The sequence below is a fragment of the Homo sapiens genome, chromosome 5, assembly GCF_000001405.40.
Source record: "Homo sapiens chromosome 5, GRCh38.p14 Primary Assembly".
Lineage (NCBI taxonomy): Eukaryota > Metazoa > Chordata > Mammalia > Primates > Hominidae > Homo > Homo sapiens.
This window is the reverse complement of record NC_000005.10, coordinates 169,996,043-170,020,078: the sequence shown is the minus strand read 5'-3', so window position 1 is coordinate 170,020,078 and position 24,036 is coordinate 169,996,043. Positions and strand designations below refer to the sequence as shown.

The following is a 24,036-nucleotide window of genomic DNA, read 5'->3' as shown; positions in this document are numbered from 1 at the left end:
CTTTATTCTGTGGGGATTAGGGTATTAATGGGTAAAGGAAGGGAAACATCCCTAAGGATCTTAAGGAAAGGCAGTTTGGAATCTGCTGCCTTTTAAGTACCCATTTTAAGGCAGGATATGGTAGGAATAAGAGGTAGATGCACTGGGGGAGAGAGGAGGGTGAGAAGCTCAGTTAGAGGTAAAACTGAGGATGTGGGGCAGAGAGGACAGGGGGTGAGGCCTGAGGGAACGGCTCAGGCAGCCTTGATGGGACTTAAAGACCAACCTTCCTAAACAGGGTAATGTCACTGAGCAGTACCGGGAGCCAATTGTGGCAACTGGTGCTTCTTCCACTGCCAGAGCTCCCAGTGTGACCAGGCCCGGGAAATGGACCTCATTGTCCAAGTTTGACGAAATATTCAATGACAATATTTGGCCAATGGCTCTCGTGTTTCACAGAGGTTCTGGCGCCCTCCATGCTGAGGCCAGTGTCCTATTCCCTCACAGATCCACAGGTCCCTCCTGAGCAACACGTCCCTAACTCCATCTGCTATCAGATTTGGTGTGTGGACAAGTGTGACACCCAGCAGGGCCGGCGTTTTCTAGATAATGTAGATCCGCAGAGTCAGCCCAGAAGATGAAGTACTAGACAAGAGTGGGTGAGAGAGTGGGACAGGTGGGACGGGTGGGCCCTGGGAACACATTTTTAGGGAATCATTAGGTAGAGATGTGGGGTTCTTAGATTCTTGAGAAAGAGGCTAAGCAAATACACAGCCAGAAACTGCATTTTAATCTTGTCCTTGGACGGAAAAGCTTGATAGAATACCGACCAAATCTGATCTGCCAGCTCATTCCGGACCCATGAATAAATGTCCCTATCCTGCCGCCGAGCCTCTCAATGAAGCTCAGGGAGATGGAATGAGGATATCATTATGGGGAAATGGGCTGGGGATTAGGCATGCTGGCATGAGTTTCCGGCCTCATTTTTTACCTTTTTGAAATCCCCACTTCTTTGATATTCACACAGCATCATGTCGAAGAAGATTGGTATGGTGGCTTTCCGGAGCTCAGCCTCAGGGATAAGTGTCATCTCTAATATAGGTCCTACCATGCCTGGGATGAAGCAGATTTTGTTCTGACCTGAAAGAGAAGAGGAACATGAACACATAAAACAGTTCGGCGACGCACAGGTCCTCCTCCGACCAAGCCTGGGGAAAGAAAAAAAGGGAAGCATAATAGTAAAAACAATAGTTAACACTTATATAGTTGTTTACCATGAGCCAGGCACCGTTTTGAACACTTAACATATATTAACTCCCGTTAGAGCGCATGCATTATCCAAAACAAGCCCGATTATTAAGGCTAATAACACGGGCGTGCGTGTAGAAAGCACTTCACTGTTTACAAGGGTTTTCACCTGCAGTGTCTGCTCTGCAAATAGGGCCATGATTGAATATGTTAGAGATGGCAAAGCACAGCACATTTGAAATTATGTCTGTCTGAAATACATGCCGTGTTGCTGAGAGTTTTTAAATGGGATTTTACCAACTGTTTTATGAAATGAGAAAAGCAAAATTTGCTACTAAGAACTCGCTATAATAGTGTGGTCAGTGGAACGGGGAGATTTAAAACATAGCTTGAGGATCAGATGAACCACAACTTCTCGTCTCTTCTGCCTCATTTCAAGGCATTCCCTCCATCCCCTCCCCTGGCTCCTGGCATTCTAGCCTAGCTGGGGTTGCTCAAATGTCACAATTTCACCTTGCTTCCCCCACAGCAAGGCTTGTGCACATTATGCCCCTTTGCTGAGAATACTTTTCCCTGTCTGCTCCCTAACCCAATACCCATTACCACGCAGCCTCCCCCAGATGGGTGCTATCTTAGCTTAAACACTCCTTCCTCTGGGAGAAAAGCCCCCTCTCTACACCTCCCACCCTTAGCTAGAAAAGATTCCTTGCACTGCCTTTATATGTTTTGCCAATTTTGAAATGATATCTTTATATGTCGAATCGTTTGATTAACATCTGCCTCCCCCACTAGAGACCATGTCTGTTCTCCTCATTGTGTCTATAGCACTGAGCACAGGACTTATCAGATGATCAGTAAACACCTGCTGAATGAGAAAATAAATTTTCCAGCTCCTACATTCCCTGGCTATGGGACTTGTATATATGTCTCATAAAAATGCAAAAGTGATACCCAGCTGTTGAGAAGATCTTGCAAAAATATGTCCGCATGTACTTAGCACAGAGCGCAGAAGAATCAGTGCCAAGGGCAGTGTTGCCCAGTGGTTAAGGGCACCAACTCTGGAGCCAGACGGCCTGAGTGTGTAAATTGACTCCACTATCAATTACAGCTGTGTAATGTTGATCAAGTTTGTCTCCCTTCTCGGGGCCTCGGTGTCCTCATCTGTAACTTGGAACAATAACAGTATTTATCTTATAAGGTTATTGTAAAGAATCAAAGAAAAAATGAGTGATTATTTAGCAACTGCCCAGGACAATGCTTGGCACATAGCCCACTTTCTACAGCATTAGCTATTAATATTATCTTTGTGATGTTTGGTCAAAATGAACCATAAAGGGGAGCCGTATTGAGCAGAACTGAGCAGAATCTTCAGAAAATATGCATCAGAAGTAGCAGATAGGGAATAAAGAGGAGCACTTAGGAATTGCAGGGATTTCCTGGGAAGTGAGGGTCAGCATATTCAAGCAACCCTATTATTGAAGCTCACACCTCTATATTTCATCAGCTGCTACCTCCTTCTCCTTGTGAGTTTTGGCACCCATCCTGGTTTCATCCATTGTCAGGATGAACATTTGTGGTCTTCGCCTGGGGCAGAGAGCACCTCAGGGTGCAGAAACTCAGGTGGTATGGCGTGTGGCCTGGCACAGCTGCTTGCGATTAAAGCTCAGACAAGGAGCTGAGAGGGAAAGCAGTAAGAAAATGAATTTTCTTTCAACCTAAATGAGGCTTAATGTTGGAGTAGTTGCCCAGGATTCAGATTAAAATAAAATAAAAAAGGCATCATCCTAGGAATATCCTCAGTTAGTGAGAATGAAATGGTGGAGTCAGGCAGAGTGGAGTGAAAAATAAAGACACTTTTCCAGGATATAAGCTTCATTATATGATGCATTTGGATTACACTTAAGCCTCAGAGTCTTTGCTTTGGCCCAAATAGAAAACAATAACAACAACAGCTTCCTTTCTGGCAGGTTTATAGTAATTGCTAATCTAGGTTTCTGATTTCATCCTTCAAGATCCTTTAAGTCTTTTTCAAACCACAGTGGAGTTTTAAAATTCAAAGTCAAGTGCAAAAACAGGTAGAAGGTAAATGGGAAACTGTCAGATAAGCCACCACGGAATGGAGAAATTGCTTATGCAACAAAGGCCTTTAGAATACTGGAGGGCATTGGGCATGATAAGGATAAATTTTAGATGGTTTAAAATAAAGGGCAGACATGCTGTAGACCCGTGATTTCTTAAATACTTTTGATCTGCATTCTTTACAGTCAGTTGAGGAGATATTTGGCAGAATAGGGAAAGCGGAGAGAGAGATGGTGATCTCCAAATACAGTGTGACCTCAATGGCCCTTACAATGCTCCCTTCAGAAATGTTATTCATTTACATAAAAGTGGAATTTCAGCACATTGGATTTTGTGTTCAAGTATCCAAATGCATATGTGTTTGCATATCTTTACATACATAGATGCATACACATGCACGCAGAACACATTTGTGGCTAATTGAATACAAACTCACTTGGGAAAAAAAGTGCTCATGCAAGAGACACACCTGCTGCTGTATTCGAGAAAAGCCAAGGAAGGGCATTTACTAAGAGGGTCTTTTTCATGTAATTGAAGCTGAACTTCACTGGGAACAGATACCAATTAGAAAAGGCTATTAAAGTGCCAATAAGCCAGCAGGAAAAATCCAAATGCCAGATTACACAGGCTTTGGGAGAGGATCTGCTGATAATGTAAGCACAGAGAAGAGCTCAGGGGGGTGTGGGTGGAAAGGGGTCCCATGAATTCTCTGGTCTTGGTTTCTCATCTGTACAGTGGCCTCCTCCATCACTCCTCCCAGGAGTGGACTGTAGGGTAAAATGCAAAGGATCTGAGGGCACTGAGGAGATGACCTTGAAAGAAACAAGAAGGAAGGAGGGAAGGAAGGAAAGGTGAAAGGAAGGAAAGAAGGAAGAAAGGAAGGAAGGAGGGAAGGAAGAAAGGAGGGAGGGAGGGAAAGAAGAAAAGGAGGGAGGGAGGGAAAGAAGAAAAGGAGGGAGGGAGGGAAGGGAGAAAGGAGGGAGGGAGGGAGGCTTTTGTGAACTTGGCTGAGAATTAAGTTGGGCAAGCCATGGGCTTCTGAGGCTGACATGTAACAGAAAGGTCTCTCCAAAGGCTGGCACAGACGCTGCAATGAACAAGGATGAGGGCAAGTTACGACTCCCTGGATTTCAGAGTCCAGCAAGCCTCCGGGGGACTTTGAAATAAAGCTGAGCTGATTAAAAACAAACAAACAAACAAACAAAAAAAACCTAAAATCAGTTCAAAAGGGGAAGACAGAACACAGATCCACCGATCTTTGCTCCTCTGTCTTAGGCTTGGAAAAGCTCCCTCCTGGCAATGCTCTGAAACAGGCAATCAATTCTCTCCTCATTGTTCAGGACTTGCCCAGCCTCAGCTTCCTTCCAGGCCCCGTAGAGTCTTCGAGTCTGACAGCCTGGGTCAGGTCCTGCCACTGCCACTCCCTGGTTGTGTGGTATTGTGCTTGTCATTTACCTTCCCTGAGCCTCCATAATCTCATCTGTAAGATGAAGATAATAAAATCTGCCTAATAGAATTGTCGAAGCTTAAGTGCAAACGAAGGGCCCTGCACAGTGTCCGGCACATTGCAAAAGCTCAGGAAGTGTTGATGCTGTTGCTGCTGCTGCTGATGGTAAGTACTTTGGGTTCAGCTCTATGCCGAGTTTTAGATTAAGCAATATGAAAAGACAAGGCCTAACCCCATGGAGCTCCCTGAAGCATTTCATGGAAATTTTCAGGCTGGTCATTTTATTTGTTCACTTTTAAAGCAAACAGCTGAACTGGGGAAAGGGTCAGATGGATTTATCTTCCCTACCATGGCTGACACTCACAACCCTCCACTCTTCTCTGTCTCATTGAAATATTTTCTCATTTGTCCTCAAAGATGTTTGAAAAGCCCCAGTTGGATCATGTTTATTCACAGAGTATTTTCCCTATGACTTTCCTTGCTCTCAGGATAAACTACCTGGGAGCATGTCTGGTCCTGTGCTCCCTCCCCATACCCATTGTGTGCCTCTCACCTAGCCACCCTCCCTCCACCTGCCTACTGCCCACTCCTCCAGGGCACACTGCTTTTCCCACCTTGGGCCTTCCTCCACCAACGAGCTCTTCTTCCTTCCCTCTCCTGGACCCCCCCTCCATAGTCTACCCCCCCCAACACATGTCTCTGCAAGTAAACCCTTTCTCATTTTCTAGGGCTGTGCTATTCTGTATGGAAGCTACAAGCTGCATGAGTCTTTTGAGCCCTTGAAATGTGGCTAGTCCATTAGAAATGTGCTGCAAGTGTAAAAAATCCACCAGATACCCAAAAAAGGAAAACAAAATCTCAGCAATATTTTATATTGATTACATGTTTAGTATAACACTTTAGAATATGGTGTTAAATGTATTGTTAAAATTAACTTTATTCTTTTAATTTTTGAAAAATAAAGACACTAAAGCATTTATAATTAGAAGGCTTGTATCCTATTTCTAAAGAACAGGTAACATATTCCACAGGTTCTGGGGATTAGGACATGGACATCTTTGGGGAGCCTACCACAGTGCTCGATGTTGGTTATTACATGAATGAGTAAACAAATAGACGGATGGCCACTCTAATCCCATTTCCTATTTATTCCCAGCAGCCTCTCCCCAACCCCAGGAAGCCATGCTTGCTTGGGCTGGTTGCTCCCTTGTAATATCTGCCCTTTCCCTGTCTTTCCTTCAGCCCTGACATAGTCCTCCTTCCAATTCAGGGATTCTGGCTCTTCCTCATGGAGGCCATCCTTGGCTTACTCACTAAGTAGGAGTCTGTCACCAATTCTCTGGGTGCCCCAAGTTTCCATTCTACAGCTATTTCCCCTTCGCAACTGTCATTAAATAATGCTGCAGTTAGTAGGTAACTATTCAGTGCAATGATCACCAGTCCATGAAGTCAGGGGCTATATCTCTAACCTGATTCGGGTTTTAACCCCAGCTACTGGCATAGTACCTGGCATGTAGAGGATGTGTGTGTTAGTTTCCTACAGCTGTTGTTATAAATCACCACAAACTTAGTAAATTAAAACAGTACACATTTATTTTGTAATAAGTGTAATACTTCTGGAGATCAGAAGCCTAAAAGGGGTTGCATGGAGCTAAATCAAGGTCTGGGCAAGACTGAGTTCCTTCTGGAGGATCTAAGGATTAATCTATTTCCTTGCCTTCCCCAGCTTCTTTTTCCAGCCTCTAGAGGCTCCCTGCATTCCTTGGTTCATGGCCCCTTCCTCCATCTTCAAAGCCAGCAACACAGCTTCTTTAAATTGCTCTCTGACTCTGATTTTCTCCAGCTTCCGTTTTTCACCTATAAGGATGCTGTAATTGTACTGAGCCCACTTGGATAGCCCAAGACACTCCCCATCTTCAAGATCTTTAACTTTATCACACCTTAAAGTCTCCTTTGCTGTGTCAGGTAACATATTCCACAGGTTCTGGGGATTAGGACATGGACATCTTTGGGGAGCCTACCACAGTGCTCGATGTTGGTTAGTAAACGAATGAGTAAATGAATGGACGGATGGCCACACTAATCCCATTTCCTATTTATTCCCAGCAGCCTCTCCCCAACCCTAGGAAGCCATGCTTGCTGGGCTGGTTGCTCCCCTAGAATACCTGCCCTTTCCCTGTCTTTCCTTCAGTCCTGACATGGTCCTCCTTCCAATTCAGAAGCCATTTCCCCACATGGAATCATCCTTATAGTCCTCACTTATATCCCTTTTGGCCTGAACTCCTGAGTCCCCACTACACATTTCACTTTGTCACTTTTCCCTACTAGATAGCTCCACTCCCTGGACCTCCGCACCAAGCTGAGCACTCTGTAGACGCTTAAACAGTAATGGACAAATTGCCCTCGAGGCTTGGCCAGGCCAACCTCCCTACATGGGAGGCCGAGATGCCAGGCGCTAGAATGTGTCCTTCTTTCCCACAACGAATGTTAATACAGCAGCTCAGTGTTAACCCAAGTGAATGTGGGAGGATTAAGTGCAAAGTCTTTTGAGCAAAATGTGCATTTCTTCATGCCGAGCAGAAATCAAGTGTTACGATGCTATACTACTGGGAAAAGTAAATTCCATTTGGCGTCCGCCCGGGATCCAAAACAACAAATGCCATTAACCCCTGAGTGGCTGGCTCCTTAACCACATGTTGTCTTTCTCCCCATGAAGACCTCCCTGCCCATACCTCCTCTCCACACACACACAATTTGTCTAGATTTGCCCCTGAAGAATGTTAAATAATCTTCAAGCCTGAGATTATAGCTTTGCAATTAGCTATCTTATAAACACAGGGTTGCTCAAGTTGTTCTTGATGAGAAGAAGATGATGATACTGATGATGGTGATGATGATGCCCTGATTGCTTCTGGCCTTAAAACAAAATTTAGAAAACTAACATGCATTATGATTTACTCATTATCAGTCATCTTTGAAAAAACGTAGGTCGTTGGTTATTTCACACCCTTTGAAACAATATGCATACACTTTGAAAAAACGTAGATCGTTGGTCATTTCACATCCTTTGAAACAATATGCATACACTTTGAAAAAGCGTAGATCGTTGGTCATTTCACACCCTTTGAAACAATATGCATACACTTTGAAAAAAATTATTTGTAAGAACATTGCACTTGGGATCAAGAGACAGGACAGGCTCTTTTAGCCTCAATTCAGTCACTGGCTTGTTTTTGACCTTAGGAATGTCCTTCTGCTTCTCTTGGCCTCGTCTGGCAACTTTACCTATAAAATCGGCAGGGTTGAATTAGATGATGTATCAGTTAAGGATGCAACAGAAATCTGACTACCATGACTAAACTGAAGCTTTAATTTTCTTGTTTAACAAGAAACCAAAAGATGGCCAGTCCAGACCTGCTCCTTCATTCTCAGAATGTAAGTTTTGTCCTCATGGCTTTAAGATGGCTACTGCCCCTCCAGCCATATTGTCCTTTTCCAGAAAGAAAGAGAGGGGAGGGCTGTGGGCAAAAATGCATTTTGTTCATTCAATCTGTCCTCTCCTTGCCTCTTTTTTGTCTTGTTTTGTTTTTAATTGGAAAAAAATACTTTCCTGTAGACCTAACAGGTATGTTTCTGCTGATTCTCATGGGACAGACTTGGGACACGTGGCTGTTAACTGCTACAAGGCATTGTTAATTGAGCACATTGCAATCCTAAAACACTGAATCCTGGGTTCAGGTAGCCAGGAACAAGAGAAGCCTGGTTCTTCGGCTCTTTCTTGCCCTTCTAATAAATACCTTCTCTGATTAAGGCAGCTGCAGTCAATGCCTTTTTTTTGCAACCAACCCTCAACCCCTGACAGATGTATCTTTTAATTGCATTAATTCATCCTACAGGTTTTTGCTAACAGCAGGGAGTCTGTGATGCTTCAGAGCAAACACTCTGGCTAAGGTGCTTGACCAGTTTCTGCCTCTAACCCACTACATGATCTTGTACAAACCCCTTCTCTATGGACTTCAGTTTCCTCATTAGTAAAATAGTGAATTGGACCAGATCAGTTGCTTCCAACTGTTCTCTGCAGTGCTCAGGGCTTCCCCCTAGAAAACCCTCTACAAGAGAAGTTCAAGAGCAGCTTGTTATAATGGGCTCTGGGTCTCCCACCTCACTTCAATTACAATAGTTCTGCTTTCATCCAATTTACTTATTAAGCAGGAGAATTTTTTTATTGGTCCTCAGCTAAAAATAAATATTTGAAAAATGCTGGACAATATGATCTTTGAAGGGCCCTTCCAGCTCCGATGTTCTGTGATTCTAAGCAGGTGGAATATTTGGTAACATCTTTTCATTCATCAGCATAATTGGGAGTGCAGGAATGCCTGCCAAAACATAATCTATATCTAAATAAAATCTTCTGTGTGCAAAACAATGGCAATGAAGGACATTCAGAAAAGAGCAGGCCATGTGGAAGGACTTGAAACAAACAAAGCACAGATCCCTGTTTTGCAATTCTGGCAGTGCCTGGGGTGTCGAGCTGGGGAAGGAAGCCCGCCACAGCTTTCTCCAGCCTCTGCTGTTGTACAGCAACGAATGCAAACTTGGAAGTGAACTGAATCTGGGTCCATCATGTGTTGAGCACATCTGATGTTTTGAAAACTTTCAATTAGTTTTCATTAGTATTCATAAATTGGAAAATACATTGAAAAACCCAGTCTCCCGGCTTCTTTTGAAAAACTGAAAGGTATGACAACGTTGGGATTGCATTTCAGTAGGACAGCTATTAACTGGAGAGGAACAGTGACTGTCTTTTTTCTCTGCTTGGGCATGTCAGTTTCACTCTGCCGCAGGCCCTTACTCCTTCTCATCTTCCTGACCCTGAGGCCAGGTGCCGGCTGTCGTGTGGGCCTGTGCTTGCACCATGTTCCCCCATTCCCCTACCATTGCAAAGCAATGGTAAATGAAACGTCAATTATTTCCTATATCCCAGTCCTTACCCAGAGTGGAGAAACAAAAGATAGACTGAGAAAGACATGCCTTTCTAGAAAAACAGGGTAGAGGTGGCACCCCCTTCTCCCAGGGGATATTTGGCAATGTCTGGAGACCTTTTTGGTTGTCATAACTAGGGAGGGTGCTACTGGCATCTTAGAGGGTAGAGGCCAGGGAGAACAGAAACATTAGGTTCCATCCTGATGGGGCAAGGATGACAATAATGATAAAAACTCTGATGTGGGTGTGGTGGCCTCCATGGCTCCACGTGCCCCAGCTTGTGCTCTGATGACCCTCATAAGCCCCCTGTGAGGGTGCTTATTTCCCCAACTTAGGCCTGGTGATGCTAGGCCTCACAGCCTGTAAATGTCAGAGCAAGGCCCAAAGCAAAGAAGTGGCAGTCTGTTCTGGGCTTGGGTCCTTGGCTCTGCCTTGGGCTTTGTGAACCAACCTGCAACCTCCCTGTTATCCAGCATGTACTTCTCTTAGCTCGAGTCTGATGCTATCAGCAACCACAGAACGCAGACTGATCATCTATCCACTGCTCTATGCTTCCCCCACAGTGGATAGAACTCGCTGGAAGGGGCATGCAACTGCTGCCTAAAAAACCCATGGGAACTGGCAGATAATAAGAGGTCTGGGGAAGCAAGAAGCGTAGTCTGAAGAGGGAACAAAAATTAAATCCAAGAGATGGGCACAAGTTAGTACTTGCAGGAAAGTCAATATCCACACCCAGGGCAGAGCAATTTAGAATCAGAGAGTCAAGGAGGGACAGAAAAATAAAAAATTCATTACTGTTCGTTCATCCATCCACCCATCCATCCTTTCAGCACATATTTATAAAGGAGGATTCAGGACATGAGCAAGGTTTATAGCCCCTGTCCTTGTGGAATCAAAACCACACTTGGAGGCTTCCAGCTGTTTGATTTCAAGCAAGTTACTTCCTTTTCTGAGTTTCCTGATCAGTAAAAGGATGGGGGAACAATTCCGTCTTACAGGAAGTGATGTGAAGATTAAATATAATCTTCTTAGCATGGGCCTGACTCAGACTCTCAATAATGTCTCCTTCGTTCCATCTCTCCCTCCACAGGTATCATTCAGGTAATCACACAGAATTCCTGAAGCTCCCTGAGGCAGAGACAGCTTCTGGGGTCACTTTTCAGCTAAAAAGACCCTCTCATCTTTCAGAGAGCCAATTCTCCTTATGAGGTTGGAGTACGTTTTGTGGACCACGCTATACAGGATGCAGAAGGACCCTCCAATCAGCAGCAAGCATCCGTGTCATGTGTGAGCACGTGAGTTCCCATGACAGTCCTGGTCCCTCTTATAAATTTCCATTTGGATCTGTAACCCATTGGGGGCATCAAGCAGAAGCATATTCACAGCTGCTTGCAGGGCTGGGGGTAGAAGTGGGTATGGGGAACCCCTCTTATTCAGAGTATAATCAGGCACTTATTAGGAACTGGGGTACACACAGTAATGAACTGTTATTTCATGCTCCCACTGCTAAAACCCCTGTGGCCCTCCAACAGATGGTCTTTAAGAAGGAGTTTGGTGCCTGCAGATGTGAGTATCTGGATGTGTGTGCCTACTCACCAAGCTTGTACCACATATCACGGATGGAGAAGCCAATTAGCCGTCTCATGTCCCCATACCTAGGAGGAACAAAAACCTCTGCTTCAGGCACCATCTCAGAGGATCTCATGGACCTCCCCCTCTTCAGGAAATCCAAAAATGCAACCTACTTATTCAGGATTTTGTTGTATTTGGCGTGTGAGAACTGCTCCAGCTGCAGAGAATCCTGGGTGATAAAAGCCACTGCCAGATGAAAATAGTTGTTCCACAGCTGTAAATGAAAGAGCAGAGAACAGTTATGGAGAGGGTCTGAAGCGGGAAGGCATAAGCGCTGGGTAGTGTGAATAATTTATGAAGATGGCAGAAGACAGAGGCCGAACCAGTTTAATTGTGCCCACTGCAATTTTCTAACTGGCACTGACTCTGAAATTAACATCCTGGCCAAAGTGAGGACAATGGATGGATTTCTCTAGGCGCTACCACGTCCACTCTCAGACAACAGGATTTGGGAGAGGAGGAGAATTTTAGGTTTTTTTTTTTTTGTTGTTGTTGTTGTTGTTGTTGTTGTTGTTTTTGTCCTTGTGCTTTGTTCTGTTTTTTGAAAGACAAATAATTTGCCCTAGCTGCGTGCTGTGGAGAGCTGGTTCTTGCCCTGGAATTAGAGGGTGACGAAGGGTAAGATAGTTCAGGGATTCACTGCCTCTCTGGAAGTCCTCCCTAATTCACCTGACAGCTTGGAGGACCAAACTGCAATCCATTCTGTCTTAAAATATTTTGCCTTTACTTTCCCCTTAGTTGAATAGTTTCAAAGTGTGGTTGCCAGATCAGCAGCAGCACCTGGGAACTTGCTAGAGATACAAATTCTCTGGCCGCTGCCTAGACCTACTGAATCAGAACCTCTGGGGGTGGGACCTAGAAATCTGCAGGTTAATAAGCAGTCAGGTGATTCTGATGCATGTTTCAGTTACAGCCCCTGCTGGCCCAGCTGAGATGCAGGCTTGTAAGGATTTTTGCATGTACCTGATCTGTTGGTGCTAACCCACTCCACCAGCCTGCAGTGAAATAGAGCAGGTAAAGGGGTCAGCACATGGTGACTGCTCAAAAGATTAGCCACACTGATGGCAATATTGATACAGGATACAGAACCAGAGATATTATAGGTCCAAACCATGGATCTACAATCCATGGATTCATCACGGAGCCTCGGTAAACCTGTCTGCAAAACTGAGGTGACTCTGGTACCCACTGCAGAAAGCTGTGATAAAGATGACACAAAATGATGTGTTTAAAGACATGAATCACAGTAAGAGCTCAAAAATCCTTGCTAGCCTTATTGCTGTTGTGCTTTTCCTTATTCCAGTGGTTTCTTTGGTACGAAAGCCAGTGATACAGCCTAGGGTTTTGGTGCTCAAGGGCAATTATTGCAAGATGCCAAGGTCCTGCAAGGAGCATGTGGGAGACAGTTTTGCTGAACAAAGCCCACCCACTTTAGGCCCCTCTCAACAGTGTATGTAGCAAGAGGATAGGCAACATTAGCCAGAGAAATCATACTGCCATTGAAACCTTCCTCCTTAACTCAAAGACGTTCATTCGTGTTTGCAGATGGCCAAGACTATGAAAGAGGCAACTCTTCCACTGATAACATAACATCATCATTGCTGCCCAGAGTATGACTTTCAAATCGGTTTGCGGTTCCAGTCTTTGAAAGAAGCAAAACAAGCAATCTAATTTTACTATAGGCCAGGAACTTTCTCATACATCTTCCTTTCATCTCTCAACACTTGACAGCTCTTATTCCTCTATTATAGATGAGGAGACTGAAGCTTGGAGAGGTTGAGTATTTTGCGTAAGTCTCTCATCTTGATGTATACACAGCAGAGCTAAGATCTGCACGCAGACCTTCTGATTGACATTCGGGGTTCTTTTAACACACCACGGTCAGTATTCAGCTGGGGATGCATTTAACAAATATTTCTGGAACATCTGCTAGGTGCCCTGGCATTGCCACAGTGTGGTGACAGAGCAGTGGTTACACAGACAGCGATCCCTGGCCTCACGCAGTTTACATTTTGTTGAGTGAATGCTTTTTTCTTTACTTGGACCTTTATCACCCAGGGCCCAAAAAAACAAACTGCTCTAGGGATTCAGTGAAGTGGCCTCTTGGCTCATGGCCCCCTTAAAGTCAGCTCTCCATGCAGAGACCAGAAGAACCTTTTAAAACACATCAGATCATTCGAGACCAGCCTGACCTACATGGTAAAACCCCATCTCTACTAAAAATACAAAAATTAGCCGGGCATGGTGGCACACACCTGTAATCCCAGCTACTCAGGAGACTGAGGCAGGAGAATCACTTGAACCCAGGAGGCGGAGGCTGCAGTGAGCTGAGATCACGCCACTGCACTCCAGCCTGGGAGACAGAATGAGACTCCATCTCAAAACAAAAACAAAAACACATCAGATCATGCCACTCCCTTCCTCAAAGTCCTCCAAAGTTTCTTGTAACATTTGGAATCAAATCTCCTTGTTTCCGTAGCAACGTTGCTTATGTAAACACATGTGGCAGGTTGGGTCTCCTGTCCACATCCCCTCAGACTGCCTTTCCTCCCGGCATCCCAGTGACTTAGCAGTTTCTCCAGGGCTTTGCTTTGAAAATGTGCAGCTTTGGTCTGCTTATGTCCGGAGCTTACACCTTCTCACATTTAAGATGGGAATTTGAAACAACAAGCCAGGGCAAGAGAAAACTGTGGCCACAGGACATGGAAATGAGTGTTTCCATGAAAGTGAGAAATCTCTGATTTTAGGGGATAGCAAAAGAGTAATTAAGGTACATGGGAAATAGGTATCCAACAAAGCAAGTCAATTTACAATTACTTGTGAGAATAATTTCAGAAATGCCCCCTAACACATAAGACACATCAAATATGGTTGAGCCTCTTGCCAGTATCTATTCTACCCTGAATGAATCCATCAAAAAAGCATTTTCTCTGTCATCCCATTCCTGATTTTCTTTTTTTTAAAAAAAAATCTGAGATATAATTTATATACCATAAAATTCACTTTTTAAGTGTATGATTTAGTTTCTAGTATATTCACAAGGGGTTCAACCATTACCATTGTCTAATTTTGGAACATTTTCATCACGCCAAAAGAAACCCTCTACCCGTAAGAGTCAGTCCCTCTTCTCCCCACCAACACCTTCCCCTACCCTGTCCCTGGAACCTATACAAGCATGAGGCATCCACCACAGGCTTGGCACACACCGAGCACTCAGTAAATGCAGTGGTGGTGTTGATGGTAGCACTGGGTGTAGAGTATTTGTATGCCCTGTCTTCTCCAACTGTAAGCTCCACAAGTACCCAAATCCTGTCTTGCATTTCATTGTATCCCTAATGCCATGCTCAGCACAATGACTTGAATACAGCTGGGCTCCAGAAAATATTTGTTTATCAATTGCTATATTGTCACAGAAATTCTTCAAAAGGTCCCAGATTTTTCTGTCTGCCCTGCTACAAACTGCCTGGAAACTGTGAATACTAATGTACTGTCTGTCTCTGTGGATTTGCCTATTTTGACAGTTCATATAGGTGACATCATAAAATATGTGACCTTTCATGTATGATTTCTTATACTTAGTGTAATGCTTTCAAGGTTCACCCATGTTGTAGTATGGATCAGTACTTCATTTTTTTTTTTTTTTATTATACTTTAAGTTTTAGGGTACATGTGCACATTGTGCAGGTTAGTTACATATGTATACATATGCCATGCTGGTGCGCTGCACCCACTAACTCGTCATCTAGCATTAGGTATATCTCCCAATGCTATCCCTCCCCCCTCCCCCCACCCCACCACAGTCCCCAGAGTGTGATATTCCCTTTCCTGTGTCCATGTGATCTCATTTTTCAGTTCCCACCTATGAGTGAGAATATGCGGTGTTTGGTTTTTTGTTCTTGCGATAGTTTACTGAGAATGATGGTTTCCAATTTCATCCATGTCCCTACAAAGGACATGAACTCATCATTTTTTATGGCTGCATAGTATTCCATGGTGTATATGTGCCACATTTTCTTAATCCAGTCTATCATTGTTGGACATTTGGGTTGGTTCCAAGTCTTTGCTATTGTGAATAATGCCACAATAAACATACGTGTGCATGTGTCTTTATAGCAGCATGATTTATAGTCATTTGGGTATATACCCAGTAATGGGATGGCTGGGTCAAATGGTATTTCTAGTTCTAGATCCCTGAGGAATCGCCACACTGACTTCCATGAACAGACACTTCTCAAAAGAAGACATTTATGCAGCCAAAAAATACATGAAAAAATGCTCATCATCACTGGCCATCAGAGAAATGCAAATCAAAACCACTATGAGATATCATCTCACACCAGTTAGAACGGCAATCATTAAAAAGTCAGGAAACAACAGGTGCTGGAGAGGATGTGGAGAAATAGGAACACTCTTACACTGTTGGTGGGACTGTAAACTAGTTCAACCATTGTGGAAGTACTTCATTTTTTTATCATTGAATAATATTCTATCATATGGATATACTCATTTCGATTATCTATTCATCCACTGATGGTCATTTGGGTTGTTTCCAGTCTTTGACTATTATGAGTCATAGCATTGACGCTATGCTGCTATGAACATTTTTGTACAAATCTCTGTGTGGACATACGTTTCAATTCTCATGGAGTGGACCTGGTTTTGTTTTGGTTTTGGCTTCCATTCTGGAAGACCTTTATGAGCCATGAGGCTGTAGCTGTGCCTCATCTTCTTAGTGGATCAGAAATGGCACATCCAAGTACCTCACCCATAGCCCCTGCCCAGTTTTGGCCATGGGGCTCTGTGGGAATGACTTCTGGAACTCAGAGGAGGTTGTCACAGTATGTGGCTCTGTGTAGCGCTCTTAGAGGTGAGCAGTGGTCACAACTAGATATTGCTGAATACTTATAAGGCCTCTGCCCCAAGCCTTTCTTCACTCTTGTTCCCAAAGAATCAGATCCAAATGAACCCACCTGGCTTTTAAAGTCTCATACAATTTCCATGGTCCCCAGTGCTGTCTCCTTCAACAACTGCCCACCTAGGTGGCCTGGTCTGCTCAGACTCCACGGAGATCACAGGAGCATTTTGGTCTCCATGGCTTCACTCACTGTGGTTCTCACACCTGCAGGGATTGTGTCCTATTCTTACATCCAAGCTGGGTTCAAGACCCGCTTCCTTCATGAAGCCTTCCTAGACTGCAGGGCATATTGGGTCTGCCTGATCACTTCCTGATTTGAGGAGCACTTATTGTGTGCAACCATGGATGTTAGTCCACTGTTCTGCACCTGGCCTTGTGCTCCATTTGTTTCTCATGACAGCACTGTCTGGTAGTCAAGAGCACATGTGTCAGTGTCTTGCAGACCAGGGTGTGAAAACCAGTTCTATTGCTTATTAGCTGGGTTGCCTTTGGCTAGTGACTTGACCTTTCTGAGCCTCATTCTCCTCACTTGTAAAATACCCAACATAATGGTACCTACCATAAAGGACTGTTGTAATTACTGGATCAATAATTTGAGAACGAGGCATCCACTATAGGCTTGACACCAAGTGCTCAGTAAATGGAATGGTGGTGTTGATGGTAGCATTGGTTGTGGAGTATTTGTAAGCCCTGTCTTCTCCAATTGTAAGCTCCACAAGTACCAAGATTTTGTCTCCCATTTATTTGTATCTCTAATTCCATGCTCAGCACAATGACTCGAATACAGCTGGGCTCCTGAGAATATTTATTTATCTATTGCCGTATTGTCAGAGAAATTCTTCAAAGGGTCCCAGATTTTTCTTTCTGCCCTGCTAGAAACTGTCTGGTGATATTTCTACTAAGTGCCTAGCTCAGCTGACTAGGGGAAGCTACAGTGTGTCTTTAGCAAAATGCACAGGTCTCTTTGCCCTGGGGAAGAGATGAGGTGATTTCCGATTGGGAATTTAATATTTTGAAATTATAGGACAATAGAGAGTTAGAACTGGAATAAATTTAAGTGTCATCTGTTCTGACTACCATATTGCACAGAGGTAAACAGTAAAGTCCAGATAAGGTAAAAGACCACCCAAAGTCATACTGCTAGTGGGTATAATGAGAATTTAGTTACTTTAATTAACTCTCAAAAAATTATAAAAGTAATATACACACATAGTTAAAAAAATAAATGATAGAAAAGATTAAATGGGAGAAAGTTATTTTCCATCCTACCTTGGATCCAAGTCTAATTCCTCAGAAGAGAATGTTAACAATTCCTTGGATAGCCTTTCAGAATTTTTTTATGCATAAACAAATGTATGTACAGACATCTTTTTTAAAAGTCTGCTGCACTTGGCTTTTTTCTCTTACCAATATATCTTGCAAATGTTTCTATATTAGCATATACAGATCTGCTTCATTCTCTTTTATTGCTACATTGTATTCTATGACGATGTACTTTAATTTTAACCAAATTCCCTATTTATAGACATTTAGCTTGATTCCAATTTTTTTTTTTTTTTCGCTAGCAACAGTGCTGTAATCAACGCCTTTATTTAAACATCTTTATGCATGGGAAACTACATTTGTAGTATACATTCCTAGAACCGGAATTTCTAAGACACAGGGTCTATGCATGTTTAGTTGTTGTTTGTTTTTTGTCTTTGTTTGTTTTTATAGATACTGTCAGGTTGCCTTCCAGGGTTTCAGTTCAATGACCAGTTCCATTATCATGGACAAGGTACCCTACCTTTCTGAGTCTCAGTAACTTCATCTAGAAAATGAGGACAATAGTATCTAAAGGGTATGGTTGTAAGGACTAAATGAGGAAATCACTGGCTAGCAAACTCTCAGTCTTGCAAAAGCCTTCTCCATTCATCCAAGCAAAGTAGATTCACCCATTATTCACCCATATTATACCCTGTTCACAACATCTGTGTCATATTTTAAACAAAATTAATTTATTTTCTGTCTCCTCTACTGGCTGTCAGCATCAAGCAAGCAAGAACCTTCTTTTTAAATTCACTCTTGTTCACACAGTATCGCACATCACGTCTGAGCCAGCACGTGCTTGGGAAATTATTTTTTGAATGAGTTCATTAACGAACCAAGCACACTGCATGCATTCTGGTTAAATCCTCCCTAAAAAAAATATGAGATTTGTATAATTATTCTCCCCATTTTAGAGATCAGGAAACTGAGGCCCAGAGAGGTTCAATATCTTGTCCGACATCACAGAGCTACAAAACGGTGAAGGTGGCATCTGAATCCAGTTTATCTGACTCCAGGACTTGTATTCTTCACCACCCTGCTCTTCTGCTGAAATCGCTCTTCTCCTTTCTCAGTGTCCTTTCAGCTTTGTTGGTTAAGGTTGTCACTGGTCCATCCGATGTTTATAAAGACTATAGTCTTTATAGCAGAGAGATCCAGGATTTTTTAATCAGAATCAGGATTCTTTCTCAGTGACCTTGAATCATTATTTATCCCAAATTTCAATAAAAAAAAATTAACCAGCATGCAGTGGTGCTGAAATGCAGTCAGCCTGCCCTCCTCTGCAGGGCAGAGGCACAGCTGTCATGACCACTCTGGGGATGCTTCTGATTTGGGGAGTGGAAGGTCCCAGGTGTGGACTCAGGTGAGAAATATCAGACAAGAGAATGTCTGGGGCCTAAAAGCTGAAGCAGGCAGGGCTGGGGAAACTGCACCCAAGCATGTGCCCACCGTTCTGCCTGGTGGAACCAACCATCCCACCATGAGTCCCCCTGTGGTGGCGCTATGGGCAGTTGCAAGGCTTTGATGACTGCTCCCTCTGTATGTGTCTCTCCCTCGCCTGTTTTTGGCATCACTGTTTACATTTCCCATTATAAAGACCAAGGTGGCTCTCATGCCTCTACTAATGGCTAGAAATAGTCTAGAAGTTTTTCATTTCACAGGATATCAAAACTGGTTCCCAGGATAGGCTGGTAATCCAAAAATGCCTCAAGGCCTAGGCAGAAATGGCCACACCTAGAGCCAATTAGAGCATCCCCAAGGAGAGAGAATGATCTCAATACCAAAGACAGTGCTGCCTAACACAGAGTCTTTCTGGAGCCCAAGTATAATCTCTGATTCCAGGGCCAATCAGAGATTTCAACATGGAGAGTCTCATCTTCCAGCCAATCATCTCAGCGCTCTCTATCCCAGTGCCAGTAAGAACTAGAAAGGGCAGAGAGTGCTTCTGGATCTAAATAGAGCTGTCTCCTGGAATCCAGAGGCACCCGGTTCCTAAGAAACAGAGCAGAAGAGTGAAAAGAGGATGTGCTTTGCAGACAGGCCTGGGGTTGAATCGCAGCAGCCCCATTTATTGGTTAGATGACCTTTAACAGAAAAGTCAATCAATTCTCTGAAGCTCAGTTTATTCACCAGGGAAATGGGTATATCACAACCTGACAAGATTATGATGAGAATCAAAATTTTCTAAGTAGATGCCCAATAAAGTTAGTCACCCTCTTCAAAAGCCTGGATGCTGGAAGATGGATTTGTATAGCCTTCTATCAAGATTCCAAGATCCTTGAGGGTAGGGCAGTGTTCTTTGCTTCTGAGTTCCTTGAAGCATGTTGCAATAGTCTGGGCCCATAAGAATTGCTCTTAAACAAAAATACCTGCTGATTTGAATTTGAAATCCTCTCTTGGTCTTCCCTGACCACATGAACTGATGCAGACACCAAGGACCAGCATCCTGAATAGGGCCTGGAATGCAAGTGATCTTAGCCGCAACCAGAAAACACCATTTTTATAATTCCCAGTTCTTGTCACCTACAGAGTGGCAGTCACCAAGCTTCTTACTTTCTGCCCTTTGAATCACAAAACCACAGTTCTGGGAAAGATATTAGGGATAATCTCATTGCACCTGCTGCTCCTCTGGTCAGTGGCTGCCAAGACAGGCAGCAGTCAGTGATGGATGCTGTTCCTGCTGATATTAAATGCATAATTAATGAGCCCGTAAGAAGGAGACAAGGCGTGTTCCAGGCAGGGTACAGAGAACAAATCCATTCTTACACAGGGGGAGGAAGAGGTAGGAGAACAAAGATAAGGTTGGAAAATGATCCTGTTCTTGGGTACTTTTCAATAAATAGCTATGGAAGCCTCATTAGGAAAAGAGACTTACTTTATTTTGTAATGTTGGCCACTCTTCTGTTTTACAGAATCTTGTGGGTGTGACAGCCCCAGGCAATGTTGTGGTGACCAGAAAGAGGCCTCCTGTCCTGTTTATCAAGGACTGACATGCATTCCCAGCCCTGACACATTTAGGGGCATGATCATCATAATCATTATCCAAATAATAAAATTACTATTATTATAATGAGCTAACACTTACTAAATGGCTGCTATGTCCCCAGCACTGTTCTAAATGCTTTACGTGAATTCACTTAATCCTCACAACAATCCAATGATATAGCTGCTATTAGTATCCTGATTTAATGTTGAGGAAACTGAGGCACATAGAGATGAAGTAATTTGTCTAAAGTCACTCAGCTTGCAAGCCCGTACTTCTCATGTATGAAACCCTCAATCTCTGAGCATCTCTCAAATACAGATTTTCTTTCAGGAAAACAGGATATAAACCTAAAGGAATGCCCTGAAGGACTGAAGTTGAGCTTCTCTTGGAAAATATCCATCTAAGAGCATGGAAAATAGTGAAGTCAGGAAAGCAAGTTTGAGGCTGCAATAGCCGATACCCACGGAAAGAGATGAACAAACTAGCTCGCAGTTATATGGACCAAACCCTGTCACCTCTGGCCCCTAGGTATGGTGTTCCAAGTTGCCCCTCCCAAAAAGCAGAAACTTCCCTAAACATACCCATGACCAGAGCCTGCAGGCCTCTCAGCCACATTTGGAAGGGAATCAAACATCTCTCCTGATTCAAACCAGCTAAAGAGATATGCTTTGTTCCCGTGTCGAAGATTTATAATGCCAGGAGAAACTCTCACCCAGACCCTGTCAGGCAGTCAACCCACTGCAAGGGTGAAAGTCTATATCAGGCACGTGGCTGTAGTCATCTGGGTGGGCTTTGGTGTCAGCCACCACTGTGTTCTGGTCCCAACTTTGCATTGATGTGCTCGGTGACACCATGCTATCTCCTTATTATCTCTGAGTCTTACTTCCTGCCTCCTTAGAGCAGAAAAAATATTAGTAATAGTGGCCAACTTGTAGGGTGGCTGTAAAGACTGCAAAAGATAATGCCCTTAAAGTGCTTCTCGTGAGATCTGGCATGTATTATTAACCATCAGAAAATGGCAGCTACGCATTTTATTATCGCTCTCATTGTCACTCAGTTGCCTGATTTGAATGCAAGGTAGTTCAAGAGACTCTTGTTCAAAGATCCTGTTCATCCTCTCAGCAAATACTCATCTACTCATAGGCTGGTGCTCTCAGAAGGGTGAATCTCACAGGCCTCAGCCCAGACGTCACCTCCTCAAGGAGACCTACTATGTGCCAGGTACAGAGCATAGAGTTGTTGTGTGTTCAAGGTCTTTATACTCACGAGGCTTAAGTTCTATGGGAGGAAAGAGAAAATACGCAGGTAGACAAGAAAGATGAGTTCTAATGATATTTAGTGCTATGAAGAGACTCCAGGAAGCCACATGGTTTTGCATAATGACTGTGGAGTGAGTGGGGGTGATCCTCAGGGAGGAGTCAGGAGGGGAGGCCTCTTTAAGGAGGAAGTATTTGAACAGAAACTTATGGGACCTTACAAGTGGATTCTTCCAGCAAGCCCTTCGTCACATTCCAGTTCTGGAAAAACCCTATGAAGTAGAAAGGGTAGTTGTTGCATTTTACAGATGACTCACTTGAGGCACGGATACAGTCCAGGCCTTGCCTGAAGTTGCTCAGCTTCTGAGAGGCGAAAGCCCAGAGAGGAACTGAACAACTTAGATGAGCAAGTGTGGGGAAAAGCAAGAGAGATCAGATTGTTACTGTGTCTGTGTAGAAAGAAGTAGACATAGGAGACTCCATTTTGTTATGTACTAAGAAAAATTCTTCTGCCTTGAGATTCTGTGACCTTACCCCCAACCCCGTGCTCTCTGAAACATGTGCTGTGACAACTCAGAGTTGAATGGATTAAGGGCGGTGCAAGATGTACTTTGTTAAACAGATGCTTGAAGGCAGCATGCTCCTTAAGAGTCATCACCACTCCCTAATCTCAAGTACCCAGGGACACAAAAACTGCGGAAGGCCGCAGGGACCTCTGCCTAGGAAAGCCAGGTATTGTCCAAGGTTTCTCCCCATGTGATAGTCTGAAATATGGCCTCGTGGGAAGGGAAAGACCTGACCGTCCCCCAGCCCGACACCCATAAAGGGTCTGTGCTGAGGAGGATTAGTAAAAGAGGAAGGAATGTCTCTTGCAGTTGAGACAAGAGGAAGGCATCTGTCTCCTGCCTGTCCCTGGGCAATGGAATGTCTCGGTATAAAACCCGATTGTATGCTCCATCTACTGAGATAGGGAAAAACCGCCTTAGGGCTGGAGGTGGGACCTGCGGGCAGCAATACTGCTTTGTAAAGCATTGAGATGTCTATGTGTATGCATATCTAAAAGCACAGCACTTAATCCTTTACATTGTCTATGATGCAAAGACCTTTGTTCACGTGTTGGTCTGCTGACCCTCTCCCCACAATTGTCTTGTGACCCTGACACATCCCCCTCTTCGAGAAACACCCACAAATGATGAATAAATACTAAGGGAACTCAGAGGCTGGCGGGATCCTCCATATGCTGAACACTGGTTCCCCGGGTCCCCTTATTTCTTTCTCTATACTTTGTCTCTGTGTCTCTTTCTTTTCCAAATCTCTCGTCCCACCTTACGAGAAACACCCACAGGTGTGGAGGGGCATCCCACCCCTACAGCAAGGAAAAAACACCATCATTCCAGTTCATGAGCTCAGTGCCTACTACCCCCTAAGCCCCCACTGGAAGAGATAGATGCTAGGGATCGGAGACTTCCCTGGAGGGGATCCTTTTGTGGGGGGCCTTCCCTCGCACATCTCCAGGCAGAGGAAGCAATCTGGACTTTCCCACAGAGTTTGTGCTTCTTGGGCCTGGACCTGGGGCAGGTGTGTCATTCTGTTTGCCCCAGGCACATACTTTTAGGACCCTGAATCTCTTAGAGGTCCCAGTTATTGGCTGAGCACTAAAAATGACTTTCAAAGGAATCAGGAAACCACAAAGTTGTACTGGAGAATTTGATTGTAAATCATTTTTCATTGTCAATGACTGGCTGCCCTTTTGGTTCCAGAGAATAGAAAAGTAAAAAAAAGGTGATACATTTTTAAAAGGTGGTACAGACTCTGACAATGAATGAATGCAAATCTCCTTGTTAATATAAGAGGCCATTATACCGTCACATTTGCATATGATGATCAGTTGATGACTATTTAATCAAGGCCCTGGTTGAAAGCCTGAGAATTTTCTCCCCAGCCATAACCCCCCGTGGGAATCCCTGGAGAGACTGGGACAGCTTCTGTGGCCTTTGGGATGTGTCTGATGGAGCAATCAGCCCAGAATGTCAGAGACGCCCTGGGCAGCTCCAAGGGTAGCTCTGGTGGCTTATACTCACCTGGAACTCAAAGTTCGTGTGTTCTAGGAACTTCTGGTTCATGGTTTCTGCAAACTTGTTGATAGCTCTCAGGAAGACCCTGGAAGAGGGCAGAAAATTACCAGACTGTCTGAGCATGATCC

The 24,036-nt window shown here is 43.9% G+C and overlaps 1 protein-coding gene across 2 annotated transcripts in view; it reads right to left on the bottom strand.

The window, feature by feature from the left end:
• The window catches only part of DOCK2 (dedicator of cytokinesis 2), a 446,108-nt gene that overhangs the window by 63,304 nt on the left and 358,768 nt on the right, over positions 1–24,036 (bottom strand). Inside the window, exons 30-34 of one of the 2 annotated variants that reach the window (NR_156756.1) lie at positions 23,915–23,993; positions 22,055–22,105; positions 11,482–11,582; positions 11,333–11,391; positions 971–1,119 (exon numbers count right to left, since the gene is read on the bottom strand). Coding sequence is in view for 1 of the 2 variants with exons in the window: in NM_004946.3 (NP_004937.1) it covers positions 971–1,119; positions 11,333–11,391; positions 11,482–11,582; positions 23,915–23,993 (388 nt within the window). In the remaining variant the exon portion in view is untranslated. The remainder of the gene's footprint in view (positions 1–970; positions 1,120–11,332; positions 11,392–11,481; positions 11,583–22,054; positions 22,106–23,914; positions 23,994–24,036) is intronic. The other variant, NM_004946.3, reaches the window with a different exon arrangement.